Below are 16,685 nucleotides of genomic sequence, written 5' to 3' on the forward strand. Positions count from 1 at the left end.
CCCAATCTTCTTGGCCAGCCCCCAGCCCCAGCTGAGATCCAATTCAAAGCTTGGACCTTTACTTTCAGAGTCTACGATGGAAGGAGCAGGATTCGTACTGACGTCCCACACCTTTTTCCTGGCTTTCTGTCCCCGGTGGAGGCTCTGTGCCTGGCAGGCTAAACGCCCTCTGAGCTCTTAGAGGCAGTTTCCACCCTCAGCCCCTGCCCCAGCTGTGACAGCCTCAGGGTCAGGCTGAGCCCTGGAACCGTATCTGCTCATCTGGATTCAAGGAGAGACTACTGTTCTTCAAAGTAACCCCACTCCCGGTGGAACCCAGCCGCCACTCCCACAGGGCTGTCCAAAGTATCCCACTAGAGACCCCAGCAGGAGCTTCTGAGGAATTAGCGTGGAAAGGGATCTGCCAGGGTCTGGTTGTGTGACCTTGAGCAAGTCCCTTACCCTCTCTGGGTCTCAATTTCCCCACCTGGCTGGGCTGGCTCTGTGCCATCTGCCCAATGCCCTGTCTGGCCGCTGGCAGCCTCTCCCTCCCTGGGGCTGTAGGGAATGCTCCCCTCACTGGCCAGCCAGGGGTGGGGTTCAAATGGGGGAAGCCAGGAGCAACCCTTGCAGTCAGGGCTCCAGGCAGGAATCAGAAGAGAAGCCTCCGCCTCTTCTCCCCAGCAACATCTCTTCCCATCTTAGAATTATGGGCTGGCAAAGCCAGGGAGGCTATCAGGCATCATCCAAACCATTATGTACATGGCCTTCCTCCAAATGAAATCTCACACAAATATCAGATTGGAGGTTTGGGAATGGGGATAAGGGGATGGGCAGAGATGAAATATGGCGTGGAACATTTATGATAAAGACAGCTCTGGGCCAGGCACGGGGTGGTTCACACCTGTAATCCCAGCATTTTGGGAAGCCAAAGCAGGAGGATTGCTTGAGACCAGCCTGGGCTACACAGTGGGACTCCGTCTCTACAAAAAATAAAAAAAAATTAGCTGGGCGTGGTGGCGCATGCCTGTAATTCCAGCCTCTCAGGAGGCTGAGGTGGGACAATCGCTTGAGCCTGGGAGGTCAAGGATGCAGTGAGCTGCGGTCACGCCACTGCACTTCCAGCCTGGGTGACAGAGCAAGACCCTGTCTCAAAAAAAAAAAAAAAAAAAAAAAGACAGTTCTGGCGTCCTGGTTGGGGAAACTCCTCCAGCCATGGAAGACCCTTCCAGCCAGCTGGGGCAGCTAGACAAGACAGCGTTGCTCTACTCGGCTGAGTTCTCCTCTCCAGAATCAACTCCCATCGCTGCTTAAAGGGAGTAATGTGGCTGTGGGGGACAGAACACTAGAGTTTCATCAGCAACCTCGTCACCCCCAACATACAAAACGCTCCTTACAAACGCAGTCCTATCTGTGCTGCTAAAGAAGGCAATCCCCCCTTCACCATCCCATCTCTTCCACTTCTGTGCATGAGAACGCATAGGCAGGAAGTATCTGATCCACACGGCTCAGATGAGAGAAAAAGGAGGAGCAGGAACAGGAAAGGAACTGAGCAGAGGAGAGACCCAGAAAGGGAAAGGTGAGAGGTGGTTCTTGCGGCTGACTTGGCAAAGCCCCAGGCCTGTGGGATTTTCCGGGACCCTCCGTGTTCTGAAAAGGCAGGGGAGGGGCAGAGAACAGCCAGGGAAGATGGAAAAGGAAACTGGTGTCCTGCCGGGTGGAAATGGGGGAGAAACTCTCGCGTGAGTGTCATCAGAGCAGCATGAGCAAGGGCTCGGTCCCAGAGGTGAGCCCGGCGTTCTGCCTGGAGGGGGCGGGCAGCAGGGCTGGCCAGGGTGAAGCAACCTGTGCCGAGCGGCTGCAAAGGCCGCGTCTCCCCAGCACGGAGCACATCACTGACGTCAAGCGCGGCGAGGCCGCGGCCAGCATTAATTAGGTGCCGATGCACGGGGGCGGGCCGGCCTGGGCCAGAAGCCGCTCCCGGAGGCTCCGACCCCCGGGGCTTCGCGCCGCCTCCCAGCCCGGAGCTCCTCCAGCCGCTGGCGAGAGGAGGCTGAACCGCAGCCGGCCTCCCAGCGGTGCCACAGCGCGCCCTAGTGGCCGTCGTCCGGAAAGCGCCGTCAGAAGAATCGCAGGCTCGCAGCCTGGGAGCCCCGCAGCCCTCATCTTCTGTCCGCCCTAAGGCTCATTGACTTCACATTAGAATCACTTGGGGAGACTGTAAAAATCCCGATGCCCGGGAGGCACCTATTCCGATTACATTAGAACCCCGACAAGCGGGCCCCAGGCCCCAGTATTTTTAAAAACTCTCTCGGTGCTTCCTATGCACCGCCCAGTTTAGAAGCTGTTGTCTTAAAGCAGTGGTTCTCAGAATTGAGCTCATGGGAGTCGCCTGGAGGGCTTGTTACATCACATATTGCTGGGCGCTACCCCAGAGTTTCTGACCCAATACTTCTGTAGCTTGGCCCTACTCGCTCTTACAAGGTTCCCAGGTGATGCCGATGCTGCCGCTCCGGGATCACACCTGGAGACCTAGTGCCAAACCCTCCTAATCAAGGCACCGACTCAGCCGGCACCGCGGGATCACCAGGGAGCTTGTTAGAAATGCAGGTTTAGAGACCCCGCCTCAGAACCATTGAGAGAGAATCTACATATTTTATTTTGCTTTTTATTGACCCATAATTGTACGTATTTCTGGGGTACAATGTGATGTTTTGATACATGTATGCATTGTGTAAAAATCAAATCAAGGTATTTAGCCTATCCATCATCTCATCTTTGCTAAAGAAATTGTAAATCTTTTCTACCTACTTTGCAATGTACAATACGGTACTGTTAACCACAGTCACCTTGCTGTGCCATAGAACACAAGAACTTCCTCCTCGCTGCAACTTTGTACTTGTTGACCAATCTTTCCCCATCCAACCCTGCTCCCAGCCTCTGGTAACCACTCTTCCACTCTCTCCTGCTAGAATCTTCATTTTCTCTAGACGCAGGTGATTCACCCAACATTAAGGTTTGAAAGTATTGCTCTAAACACCATTTGTGCAGGCCTTACACAATCAGGCTATGTTGACAGCTTGGAAGACCACTTCACATCCCCCACCCGGCCCCAAACCTGATCTCTGGATCAGAGAGCTGGATAGAATGTCCCAGATTATCTGATCCAATTCTTTTGCAGGACAGATGAGGGAAACTGAGGCCCAGAGAAGGGGATGAACTTGCCCAAGCTCCCTGGGTTCTAGGGTGGCCTGTCATCCTGGGTACCTCAAAGCTCATATGGTCATAAACAACCCCCTTCCTCCCCAGGAGGCAGCATGTGAGTTCTGCTCTTGATCCACCTATCAGGCGGCACGCACTCCAGGGGGGCTGTGGCGGCCCGGGCTCCATCCCGGCTGCTTGGGAGGGCACTGAAGCAGTGAGCAGAGACACAGGACATCGCATCAGAGAACATGGTACAAGGAAACCTGTGCAAGATGTTTAGGTTTGAAAGCTAGGTGTCAGCCACTGGGCCTCCATGCTGAGATTCATACTCCCATCTTGTTCATGATTATTCTGAATTCTCAGGGAAAATAGACAGGTCAGAAGCCTATCTTAGGGACACCGAAGCAAATCTGTACACACTAAGCATTCTGTCCCAACAGTGGGCTGGATGGCCACCTTCAGCCGCAGCTTATGGTGGGTTTCTGTCTTTTCGTCCTGTTACTTGGCTGGAGTTGAATGGCCAATGAAGTTGGGCATGAGTATGTGGACCCCAAGTTGTGCTGCCCTCGTAGACAAGTTAAATGAGCTAATGGTAAGCGCTGTCTATGGCCATTGTGTTAGTATATTTGTGCATTGCTATAAGGAAATGCCTGAGGCTGGTAATTTATAAGGAAACAAGGTTTAATTGGCTCACAATTCTGCAGACTGTTCAAGAAGCATGGCGTCAGCATCTGGTCCTGGTAAGAACCTTGGGAAGCTTCCACTCATGGTGAAAGGTGGAAGGCAAAAGGGGAGCAGGCACATCACATGGCAAGAGTAGGAGCAAGGGGTTGGGGGAGGTCCCAGACTCTTTTAAACAACCAGATCTCACATGAACTAACTGACCAAGAACTCACTTATCACCAAGGGGTGTGCTTAACCATTCACGAGGGGCCTTCCCCCATGATCCACTCACCTCCTACCAGGCCCCACCCCCAAAATGGGAATCACCTTTCAACATGATAATCGAAGGGGACAAATATCCAAACCACGTTATTCCCCGCCCAGGACCCAAATATCATGTCTTTTTCACATTTCAAAATACAATCATGCCTTTGCAATAGTCCCCCTAAGTCTTAACTTGTTCCAGAATTAATCCAAAAGTCCAAGTCTCATCTGAGACCCAAGGCATGTTCCTTCCACCTATATGCCTGTAAAATCAAAACAAGTTATTTACTTCCAAGATACAATGGTGGCACAGGCATTGGGTAGATATTCCCATTCTAAAAGGGAGAAATTGACCCAAAGGAAGGGGCTACCAGACCCACCCAAGTCTGAAACCCATTGGGGCAGTCATTAAACCTTAAAGCTCCAAAATGATCCTTGATCCCATGTCCTGCATCCTGGGTGCACTGGTTCAAGGGATGGGCCCCCAAGGCCTTGAGCAGCACTGCCCCTGTGGCTTTTCTGGGTCTAGCCCTGTGGCTGCTCTCATGGGTTGGAGTTGAGTGCCTGTGGCTTTTCCATGCTCAGTATGCAAGCTGTCAGTGGCTCTATCATTCTGGGGTCTGGAGGACATCAGCCACCTTCCCACAGCTCCACTAGGCAGTGTCCTGGTGGGGGGTCTGTGTGGGGGATCCAACCCCCATTTCCCCTCCACACTGCCCTAGTAGAGTTTCTCTGGTGGGGGCTCCACCCCTGCAGCAGGCTTCTGCCTGGGCAGCCACCTTAGGCTTGCTGATTCATCCTCTGAAATTTAGGTGGAAGTTGCCAAGCCTCCTTCACACTTACATTCTGTGTGCCTGCAGGCTTAACACCAAGTGGAAACTGCCAAGGCTTATGGCAGCTTGCGTTCTCCAAAGCAGCAACTGGAGCTGTACCTGGGCCTGGGGTCTTTTGAGCCAGCAGAGATGTGGCAAGCAGTGTCCTGAGGCTGAACTGGACAACAGTGCCCCATACCTGGCCCCTGAACCCATTCTTTCCTCCTAGGCCCCTGAGCATGAGATGGGAAGAGCTATCTCCAAGACCTCTGAAATGCCTTTGAGAACTTTTCCCCATTGTATTGGATATTAGCATTTGGCTCCCTTTTAGTCATGCTAATGTCTCTAGCAAATGATTGCTACACTGGCTGCTTGGATTCCGCTCCTGAAAATGCTTCTTCTTTCCCTGCTGCATGGCTAGGCTACGAACTTTTATGCCCTGCTTCCTTTCATGTATAAGTTCCAACTTTAAGTCATTTCTTTACACCCATATCTGATCGTAGGCTGTTAGAAGCAGCCACGTCACTTCTTGATACTTAGAAATTTCTTCTGCCAGCTGCCACCAAATAAGTTCAACCTTCCACAAACCCCTAGGACATGAACACAATCCATCCAGGCTCTTTGCTAGGGAATAACACAGGTGATCTTTGCTTCAGCTCCCAATAACTTTCTCATTTCCATCTGAGACTTTGTCAGCTTGGACTTCACTGTCCATATCTCTATCAGCATTTTTGTCACAACCATAGATGTTCCAGACGTTCCCTCATCTTCCTGTCTTCTTCTGAGCTCTCCAGTCTCTTCCACCCTCTGCCCGTTACTCAGTTCCACATCTTTAGGTATTTTTATGGCGATACTCTATTCACTATACCAATTTTCTGTGTTAGTCCGTTTGTGCATTGCTATTAAAAATGCCTGAGACTGGGAAATTTATAAAGAAAAGAGGTTTAATTGGGTCACAATTCTGCAGGCTGTAAAAGAAGCATGGTGCCAGCATCTGGTTCTGCTAAAGACCTCAGGAAGCTTCCACTCATGGTGGAAGAAGAAAGGGGAGCAGGCACATCACATGGTGAGAGTGGGAGCAAGAGAGAGAGAAAGGGGAGGTCCCAGATGCTTAAACAACGAGATCTCACATGAACTAACTGAGCAAGAACTCATATCACCAAGAGGATGGTGCTAACCTACTCTTAAGGGATCTTCCCCCATGATCCACTCACCTCCCAGCAGGCCCCACTTCCAACACTGGGAATCACATTGCAACATGAGATTTGGAGAGGACAAAAATCCAAGCCATATCAGCCATTATTCATGCGGGCAGTCTGGGACACACAGAGACCCATAATAGCCTGTTGTGGGCACAGCATTTAGAGTCCAGATGGAGAAACTAGACAAACACATGAATAAGGGACAGAGAAATAGATATCACAAGACTGACGAGGTTTCAATGCCACGGAGGCAGTGATGACACTTGGAGCAGGCAGACACTGGAGAAATGCATGGCCATGGGTCAGGAAAACCAGAGCAGGCTTCCTGGAGGTGGTGTGGCTATCCCAGCCTAGATATGATGGAGCTTGGACATGAACCCTGGCCTGCCCGAATTTGGACCTCATACTCCTAACCACTCCTTTACCCTGTCCTCAAAGAGGGCAGGAGTGAGACCCGCCCCATGGCCCATCTGAGATCTGTAAACAGGATGTCTGGCTGGAAAAGAGGGTTCCCACGGAGACAGCCAAGGTTGAAAAGGTTGAAAAGGGCCAGGAGGGAGGGTGTTGAAGTTAAGGTTGATGAGCTCAGGCTTTATCCAGGATCCCGCAGAAAAGCCATCTGTGTTGTGATGCAGGAGTCAGACACTGATGGAAGTTTCAGGAAGACAGAATCTTTGTAGAGGCCAGCACATGGCTGGTGTGCAAAACCAGCCCTGGGGCCTGTGATGCAAGCATCATGAATGCTCTTTATATGGTTATAGCATTTTGCAGGGCTGGATTTTAACATTCTGAATTCATTTCCATTCATTCCCAAAAAGCTCTGGGAAATGACTAACTTTTAATTATTAAGTAAAAACGGGGTGCGTATTTGTTTTCCTGCTGTGGGTCTTGGTCTTTTACATTCTCTGCTACACCACTCTGTTATCAACTTTACAGAAAACAAAGAAACTGGAATTAAACATTAACCAGGATCATTGAGAATGTCACAGAAATGCACAGCCCTGGGGTTAGGACAGGGGAGGCCCCTCATTCTCTGGTTGGCTGTTCAAACAGAAAAGGAGCCTGGGAGCACGCCCCGTCTCCAAGGGACTGGGGTCGGGGGTGAGGTGATTTCAAGGTGCACTTTCCACTCCAGTCAACATTTCCTGAGTTCCTGTGTGAGGGCTGGCCTCGGTGCTAGGAATCTGGGTACACGAGGGCTGAGACAGGGTCCCAGTCCTGGAGACATTCACATCGCCTGTGAGAAGGGCCCTCACAGAGGCAGGGACAGACGGCCAAGGAAAGCAGAATGGGTAGTGATGTGTTTCATCCTAGAGGACGCAGCAATTGCTGTAGGTCTTAAAGAATCAAAAGAATCAATAGACTTTTTACTAGTAAAAAAGAGAGGGCCAACTGGGCATGGTGGCTCACACCTGTAATCCCAGCACCTTGGGAGGCTGAGGTGGGCGGATCAATTGAGGTCAGGAGTTTGAAACCAGCTGGGCCAACATGGTGAAACCCCATCTCTACTAAAAATACAAAAATTAGTTGAGCATAGTGGTGGGCACCTGTAATCCCAGTTACTCAGAGGCTGAGGCAAGAGAATTGCTTGAACCTGGGATGCAGAGGTTGCAGGGAGCTGAGATCAAGCCACTGCACTCCAACCTGGGCAACAGAGGGAGACTTCATCTCAGAAAAAAAAAAGAGGGGGAGGCAGTTCAGGCAGAGGGAACAGCATGAACGAGCAGGCAGAGGACCTGCTGCCATCCTCCTAGAAGGAAATATATCACCAGGGGTCCAGCACAACAGGAAGCCCACTAGTATTGCAAACAGAGGGAATTTAATCCAGGGGACTGGCTGCATAGATATAGGTGGTACAAAAACTGACAAGGCAAAGCAGACAGCGAGCAGACCAGTGTGCAGGGTGTGTTTGGGAAGTGACTGGTAGCCTGGTAATGGGGTGTGGGGTGTACAGCGGGGGGAGGGGTGTGTAGAGGATGGCACAGGGCTGGAAGGCAGCTTGGGAGCAGAGTGGAAAGGCTGGTCCTACGGTGCATGCTTGATTTGCAAAGTTACAGAGCCTCGTCTAAAGCATGGCCTGGTGGGCTTGAGCAGCCGTGGGAGGGTGGGCTGCTGGGCTGGCCTTGGTGGGAGGCTGCTGGGGTTGACCAGGGCAGGACTCGCCCAAGGCTGCTGCCAGAGAGGAGAGGTGGGGTGGGCTCAGAGACATTCCCAAGGCTCAGTCTTCTGGCTCAGTGACGAATTGAGTGGGGGGAGGGACGTCAACAAGTCTGAACACTCTGACCCGGTGCCATCCTCCTAGAAGGAAGTGTATCAGCCAGGGGCCCGGCCCATCAGGAACCATGCTAGTATTTCCAACAGAGGGAGTTTAATCCAGGGGACTGGTTGCATCGGTGGTATAAAAACTGAGAAGGCAAACGAGATGGTGAGCAGCCCCGAGGTGAGCAATGGGAGGACGGCGCTGCACCATTTGGAGCAGGAGGGACAGAAAAGGGAAGCAGGTGGAGCCCGGAGGCCGGGAGCTGCCCACCAGGCAGAAGCCACAGCAGACCTGCGCAGTGGGAACTGGCGCCGGGGAGGCGCAAGCCCTGCTAGAGATGCTTCCTAGAGCAGGGACCCAGGGGAGGAAATGCCCCGGCGTCTCCCCTCCGCCCACCCTCTCCTCACCTGCTATTGGCCAAACCTACCTGGAGCAAGGGACCTGGGGAGCGTAACCCTGAGATACAAGCCAGCCCGAGAAGAATGGGCATGTGTGTGGGAGCAGCGGGCCGACAGGAGCACAGGAACACCAGAGGAAGCAGCTGCGGAGAAGAGACCGTGCGTCCTGATCTGAAGATGGGAAGCGAGAGGTCCCTCCAGGAAGGAATGTCTAGTTTGCAGCAGCATAGAGAGTAGGATGGCTGGGGAGGTAGATGTGGCAGGCGCGACTGTAGCTCTCTGTCTCAGGTTTTCTCAACCCAGGGAAAAGCTGATTAATGCCTGAGTCACTCTGTCCGCGAGCTGAGCCTCCTGGGTGGGGCAGGGCAAGGTGGTATCGGGTGATTCGGGGATGTGCCAGCCTCAGGGAGGGGAGAGAGGATAGTGTGCGGGAAACAGAGCTGGCCTGGAGAGGCTGTCACGCCCACAGCATCACCCCAGTTCTGACGGCAAAGCTGTGTGACTTTGAGCAAGTGAATGATGCGCTCTGGGCTTCGATTTCCTCGTCATCACCAACCCCTGCCTCCAGCACAAGCTGCTCCACACCAGGCAACCGCCTGTAGTTGCCCAAACTCTGTGCTTCCTCAACACCCAGGCCTGCAGTAGACGCCACCCCCGACCTGGAATCTCCTTCCCCATTCCCACACGTCTTACTTTCTCCAGTCTTTCAGATTCAGTCCTAGCAGACTCCCAGCACTTTGGGAGGCCGAGGCGGGCAGATCACGAGGCCAAGAGATTGAGACCATCCTGGCCAACGTGGTGAAACCCTGTCTCTACTAAAAACTCAAAAATTAGCCGGGCGTGGTGGCGCACGCCTGTAGTCCCAGCTGCTCAGGAGGCTGAGGCAGGAGAATCGCTTGAATCCAGGAGGCGGAGGTTACAGTGAGCCGAGATCGCGCCACTGTACTCCAGCCTGGGGACAGAGTGAGATTCCATCTCAAAAAACATAAATAAATAAAAAATAAACCCCCCCCCACACACAGCAAAAACAAATCACAAAGACAAAAACGAAATCCCTTCAATGCCCATTTCCTGAATCAACTGCATCCCCCAGGAACTGCTTTGGGATTTTACTTATTATTTGGGATTATTTGTGCTCATTTCCCCTGTACCAAAAGTCAGAATCAAGTTAGCTGCGCTGTGTCTCTGTCACAAATGTCTGCTTGTATAAATAGGAGGGGGTACAAGCATGTGTCCACACACGCACACACGCCTCTCTCCGGATAAAGAGGTCTCGGGGTGAGGATTCTGGAACCCGTCCTTCCACACCTACTGCGTCTGGTCACTGTCTCCGAGGCTGACATTCCTCACGCCGAGGGATGGGCAGGCAGAAGGCTGCAGGCAGTGCGCCAGCCAGGTCAGCTTACAGCGAGCTGTCAACCCAGTCACTGACGCCTCAGCGAGGCCATAAATAACAGCGGTGAAGCTGCAGCAGGCCACCCGGGCCTCCCCCAAACCACTCCTCTGCCATCAATCTCGCCTGATGACTGCTTGGCGTTCAGGCTTCCGCGTGACCCGACCACGGCCCCAAGCGTTCTTTGGGGCGCAGTGTCCCTTCCCAGGCACGGAGTGGGTCAGCCAGGAGCACACTGCCTCGCAAGGTCCCCGTGTCCTGCCAATGTACTTTCTGGATGCTGGAGGCAGGCTGAAAAAGACTCCCATCACTCAAAACCCCACCCCTCTCAAGACCGGCTCCAGAAAGCTGAGTTCCATCCCCGTTGTTGATCCGGTCATGGTGGACTCTGTACCAGAAACGATGCCACACAGCAACTGCTGCCCTCCGCCATGCAGCAGCGACTCACCCTGTGCCCAGGCTGCTCTTGTGTTCTTTGCAATGTGAGTGGGCAAAAGCCGACATATAAGGCAGCTCTTCCGCTCAGACTCCTTTTGTCCCGCCCTCAGCGGCAGGGACCTTATGTCCACGCCCTTGGTTCTGAGGCTCCAACTCTCACCACCCTAAAACATCCACCTAAAATCACAGACCACCACACATACACCCACACACCACATACACACACACCACACACACCATACACCCACACACCCGACACACAGACCACACACACACCACATACACACTACACACACACACCATACACACACACACCCGACACACAGACCACACACACACACATACACACTACACACACACACACACACACACCAGACACATACACCCACACACCACATACACACACACACACACACACACACCGACACACAGACTACACACACACCACATACACACACTACACACACACCACATACACACACACTACACATACAAAACACACCCGCCACACACACCACATACACACACACTACACACACCATACACACACACCACACACCACATACGCACACACACCACACACCCCACATAGACACACATACCATACACACACACCAGACACATGCACACCACACACACCACACACCACATACACACACTACACACACACCATACACACACCAGACACACACACCATACACCACACACATCACACACTACACACACACCAAACACATACACACACCACATACATACCACACACACATGCACACTCGCACACCACACACACACCACACAGATACACACCACACATACCACACAACACACACACATACACCCCCACACACATACACCACCACACCACACACATATACACCACACAGACCACATGCACCACACACACCATACACACATCACACACACACACCACACATACATACACCACATACACTACACACACCACACACACCACACGCACACTCACACACCACACCCCCCACATACTACACACACCACACATATTTACATGCACACACACACACACACACACACTTCCTCACTCACAAGCTCTCTCCTGAACTCTTGGGATTTGATTTCTGTAAAATGCTCACATGTCCCCACTCTACCAGCTAATGAGATAATTCCGTGATCTCATCAGCCTTCTAATAGGATTTTCATCACATCTCTCTGGATAAAAGCTATCTAAAGGCTCACCAAATGGTCCCTAGGCATTGCACTCTTTATCAGTACCCCCACTCCATCAAGTTAAGCTTCTGTGGCCACAGGGTGGCAGGAGGGAGGGGTCTTCCAGAGTCAAACCCCCTTACATCTGGGGAACTGAACTCCAAAGAGGCAGTGACTTCTGAAGGTCACAGGGTCAGATGGGGGCCCATCCGTCCAGAGTACGGTGCGTCTGGGGAAGAAGTAACCAAATCCAGTCCTTCCCCGAGGGGACAGAGGGCACACACGGGGAAGCCACGCCCCAGTCCAGGGCCACACAGAGGGGGCCTGTGGTGGACCCTGGTGGTGCTCCTGCAAGCCCCCCACCGGACCCCTTCCTGCGTCCGGCCCTTCCCCAGCCCCGGGGGGCTTCCATGGCTAACCCAGGCGCCTGCGACTTGCTTTGGGGCCCTGTCCTCAGGCCATTGCAGGGAAGTGGGGAGCAGCCTTTAGCCGTGGCGGACTGGGGAGGGGTCTAAAAGCCCAGCTCCCTTGCCTGAGTTGGGGCAAACTCTGAGAAATAATTTATACTCCAGAACTTTCCTGCGGGATCTAGCTAGGGCTTGTTCTTCCCGGGAAACTGTACCAGCGTGGCTTCCCCCAGCCCACCCGGGCTGCGCACTCCCGGCCTCCTTACTAGTTCCTCCTGGGATCATCTCCCTTCAATAAATCACCTGCGTCTGGGCCCTTAACGACTGCCTCCGGGGAGCCTGACCTAAGACACCAGGAAACGTGTGTGGAACAAACCGAAGGGCTCTGAGGATAACATCAGCCAGGGAGAAGAGCAAGTGGAATGGAGCACGGAGCACATGGTTAAAGGAAAAGGTTCGGGCAGAGGAGGAGCCTCGCCCGAAGGAGGGATGGAGAAGACACTGCACTTACACATCCACACACACAGCACACACCACACAACCACACACACAATCACACATACCGCACACACAACCACACACAATACACACCACACAACCACACACACCACACACAACCACAAACACCACACACCACACACAACACACACAACCACACACACAACACAACACACAACCACACACAACATACAACACACACAACCACACACCACACAACCACACACTGCAACCACACACACAATACACACAACACACAGCACACACCACACACAACACACAGCACACACCACACAACCACACACAGTCACACATACCACACACACCACACAACCACACACACAATCACACATACCACACACAACCACACACACAACACAGACACACAACCACACACACACCACACACCACACACAACCACACACCACACACAGCCACACACCACGCACAACCACACAACCACACACCACACACAACCACACACACAACACACACCACACACACAACCATACACAACCACACACAACACCATATAATCACACACACAATCACACATACCACGCACCACACATAACACACACCACACGACCACACACCACACAACCACACACACCACACACAACCACACATACCACACAACCACACCACACACCACACACACAACCACACAACCACACACCACACACCACACACAACCACACACACCACAACCACACACACAACACACACAACCACACACCACACAACCACACCCACCACAACCACACACACCTACACACACCACACACAACCACACAACCCCACACACAACCACACACAACCACACAACCACACACCACACACCACACACAACCACACAACACACAAACACACAACACACAACCACACACAACACACACCACACACAACCACACACCACACACAACATACACAACCGCACACACAACACACAACCACACAACACACAGCACACACAACCCCACACACACCACACAACCACACACCGCAACCACACACACAACACACACAACACAGCACACAGCACACAACCACACAGTCACATATACCACACACACAACACACACCACACAACCACACACCACACACACAATCACACATACCACACACACAACACACACAACCACACACACCACACACAACCACACAACCACACACAACACAATCACACATACCACGCACAACCACACATAACACACCACACAACCACACACCACACATACCACACACAACCACACATACCACACAACCACACACCACACGCACCACACACAACCACACAACACACCACACACCACACACAACCACACACCACACAAACATACAACACACAACCACACACCACACACACAACCACACAACCAACCACACACCACACACACCCACACACACCAACACAACACACAACCACACACCACACACACAACCACACAACCACACACCACACACAACCACACACACAACCACACACACCACACACAGCTACACACACCACATACACTACACACACAACCACACACACCACACACACACAACCACACAACGGTGTGGCTGAAGCCAGCAGAAATGAAAAGTCCTCTGGTACCTCCCCTTCAAACAGCTCACACTCATGCGGGTCACTGTGGCACGGCGCCCTCACACGCGCATCCGCAGAGCGCACCTGTCCCAGCGTGGCCAAGACCGCCTCTTTCACCCAGGGCCCTCTGTGGACGTTAGTCTGCTCTGAGTCACCCCTGGATAACTGAGGACTTGCCTGTCAAGTATGAAACATTTAGCACGTACAGTCCTTTGAGTGGAATTAGAGTGGAAGAGTGTAACTCAGCGTGTAAGAGTTGCCTGCTGCTGCTTTGAACAGAGGGTAATTGCAGCAGATGCCTTCAGCCCCTGCTCTTTTCAGCAGCCACTGTACAGGGCGGTTCCACCCCATCTCCCACCTCCCGGCCCAGCTCTCTGATGTCTCTGCCCGGTGGCGTTCCCCGATGCCCCTTTGCCTGAGCGCCGAAGCGTGGGGAGTGGAAGCTGGCGGTGGGAGCCGGTGGAGGCATGCGCGCCTCCTGTGCTTCAGGAAGGCAGCCCTGGAGACCTTCTGGATGCTTCCCAGGAAGGCCCCACAGCAGCCACCACAGCCAGCACGTTTTTCTCTACCGGTTTTCCCCCTTCCGCATCTCATGGTCCTGCTCCCTGGGATCATCGCCCAATTAAACTGCATCCAAGCCCTCGCACCAAGCTCTGCTTTCACGGGAATGCAAACTGAGACAGTATTATACCTGATGTTACCTTTTCCAAGGTAGCTGGGGTCATCGTTATTTCCCTCAGCTCTTACCTGTGCTGGAGTAGCGTGCTGCCCTCGGAAGCTACCAGGTACCCTCCGTGAAATGGCCCAGCTGTTCTTTGGGAGTTCGTGTCTGATTTTGCCATTTTTCTATCACTTTCTTAGTTGTTAGCAAGTCTTCCTCCAGCAGGACCGTTACCTTCCTCCAACTGATCATTTTTGTCTTTAATCTGCTATCGCCTTGAAATCACGTAACCAAACGTGATAGCCCCTGTCTGTTGTGAAGGTGAACAGATTCTGAAAGGAGGAATGTTCCTTGGAGCGGATGCATGAGCTTTCATTTCGGGCACTGGAAATTCATTTTGGCTGCTGAGGAGGTATTTTTATTTCCCTGGCTTAGAGCTCTATTGAGGACAGTGTAGAGGCTGGATAGTCAAACATCGTATTGAGTTCGTTCTTATATTTTAATTTAGCTATGGGATGTGTTTGTGGGTGAATGCAGTGAGTCTAATAGTACTTACCGCAAATGCCCTAGGGCCGTGGCTTGACATTTATTAGCATATGCCGATTTCCAACTTTTAGATCCAGTTTTTAAGACTCCAGAAGACTTCACAAGTGTGCCAGCTGCTCAGATGTGAAAACAATATCACACACCAAAAAAAATGGCGGCTTACATATGTCAGAGCAAAACTAAAATCAGTCCAGGGGTTGAATGCAAATCCCCCCCATTCAGCCCCCAAGTCTCACCCAGATGTCCCCTCTCCTCTCTGGAGAAGTTGCACGTCCCCTCTTGAGGGCAGGAGGAGGTACGTGTCCGTTTCGTCCTGGGAGGACTCCCTGGGATTCCTTGTGTAGGAAGAGTTCTGTGCTGGGGCTTGCTCCCTCCCCTGCAACTTTCCTGATCTCTGGGGCTCAGGGGCAGCCTCTGGTGCCTGGCTGATGGGCACAGCTGGCGAAGGCCACAGAGCAGCTGAGTGCTGGGGACAGGTGCAAGAGCAAACTCCAGCAGGTGTGTTGACTGTAATGACAGGGTCACTGATGCTGTCTCCCAAGTGTTTTCTGTGCTGCTGACAACTGGGGCAGGCGAAAGCACATGGGAATTTGTTGTTGGAAAGGTTACACGGGAGGGAGGGAGGGTGTGACTGTGGGCACCTCCCCGGGACGTGCAGTGAGTGGGCGTTTCTTTCTTGGATGGGCTCAGCGTGCATGGTGGCTGTGGGCTCCTTTTTGGAGAGGAACTCGAAGTCCAGGCAAAGAGAGGTTTACAGGCCTATGATGGGGTTACATCCTGATCAACTCATTGTTAGTCCAAAATATAAGTCAAAAATGCATTTAATACCCCAGTAAATCTATCATAAAGTCAGAAAATTGTAAGTTGAAGTCTCAAGGGCTGGATCATCTGTATTTCACTGGAACCGTGGCAAGAAGACCCCACAGACTGGCATTCTGGACACGGTTGCAGGTGAGAGGAGGGCTGCAGCTTGAGGGTCATGGTGGCCTGAAAGGACCTGGGGATGTGAAACGCTGTCATCGAGGGCTGGCGCGCACACAGGAGGTTGATGGGGGTGTGGCTGCAGGCTGAGTGTTGTTGGCTGCAGAGAGGTTGGGGGGTTGAGAGCGTGGTCATGGAGCTCAGTGGCTACAATGACACTCAATGCTCCTGAGGGTGGCGAAGCCTCAGCAGGGCTGGCT

The 16,685-nt window shown here is 52.6% G+C and overlaps 7 annotated features.

Annotated features, from left to right (window-relative positions):
* Nucleotides 1,741-2,080: a silencer, noted in NCBI's record as "silent region_15020". NCBI's record gives its function as "represses an Ori minimal core promoter by ATAC-STARR-seq in GM12878 lymphoblastoid cells {active_cell/tissue: GM12878}" and the evidence as "EXISTENCE:reporter gene assay evidence [ECO:0000049][PMID:35858748]".
* Nucleotides 1,741-2,285: a biological region, named in NCBI's record as "H3K4me1 hESC enhancer GRCh37_chr3:194033347-194033847".
* Nucleotides 1,785-2,285: an enhancer, noted in NCBI's record as "H3K4me1 hESC enhancer chr3:194033347-194033847 (GRCh37/hg19 assembly coordinates)". NCBI's record gives its function as "activates a minimal SCP1, AML or CMV promoter by ChIP-STARR-seq in naive H9 embryonic stem cells {active_cell/tissue: H9 hESC(naive)}" and the evidence as "EXISTENCE:reporter gene assay evidence [ECO:0000049][PMID:30033119]".
* Nucleotides 2,151-2,200: an enhancer, noted in NCBI's record as "active region_21021". NCBI's record gives its function as "activates an Ori minimal core promoter by ATAC-STARR-seq in GM12878 lymphoblastoid cells {active_cell/tissue: GM12878}" and the evidence as "EXISTENCE:reporter gene assay evidence [ECO:0000049][PMID:35858748]".
* Nucleotides 6,967-7,261: a silencer, noted in NCBI's record as "tiled region #2488; K562 Repressive non-DNase unmatched - State 23:Low". NCBI's record gives its function as "weakly represses a minimal TATA promoter and a strong SV40 promoter by Sharpr-MPRA in K562 cells {active_cell/tissue: K562}" and the evidence as "EXISTENCE:reporter gene assay evidence [ECO:0000049][PMID:27701403]".
* Nucleotides 6,967-7,261: an enhancer, noted in NCBI's record as "tiled region #2488; HepG2 Activating DNase matched - State 5:Enh". NCBI's record gives its function as "activates a minimal TATA promoter and a strong SV40 promoter by Sharpr-MPRA in HepG2 cells {active_cell/tissue: HepG2}" and the evidence as "EXISTENCE:reporter gene assay evidence [ECO:0000049][PMID:27701403]".
* Nucleotides 8,430-9,629: an enhancer, noted in NCBI's record as "P300/CBP strongly-dependent group 1 enhancer chr3:194039992-194041191 (GRCh37/hg19 assembly coordinates)". NCBI's record gives its function as "activates an origin of replication core promoter dependent on BRD2, BRD4, P300/CBP, MED14 and CDK7 cofactors, with strong dependence on P300/CBP, by STARR-seq in HCT116 cells {active_cell/tissue: HCT116}" and the evidence as "EXISTENCE:reporter gene assay evidence [ECO:0000049][PMID:35650434]".

This window comes from Homo sapiens, chromosome 3 (assembly GCF_000001405.40).
Source record: "Homo sapiens chromosome 3, GRCh38.p14 Primary Assembly".
Lineage (NCBI taxonomy): Eukaryota > Metazoa > Chordata > Mammalia > Primates > Hominidae > Homo > Homo sapiens.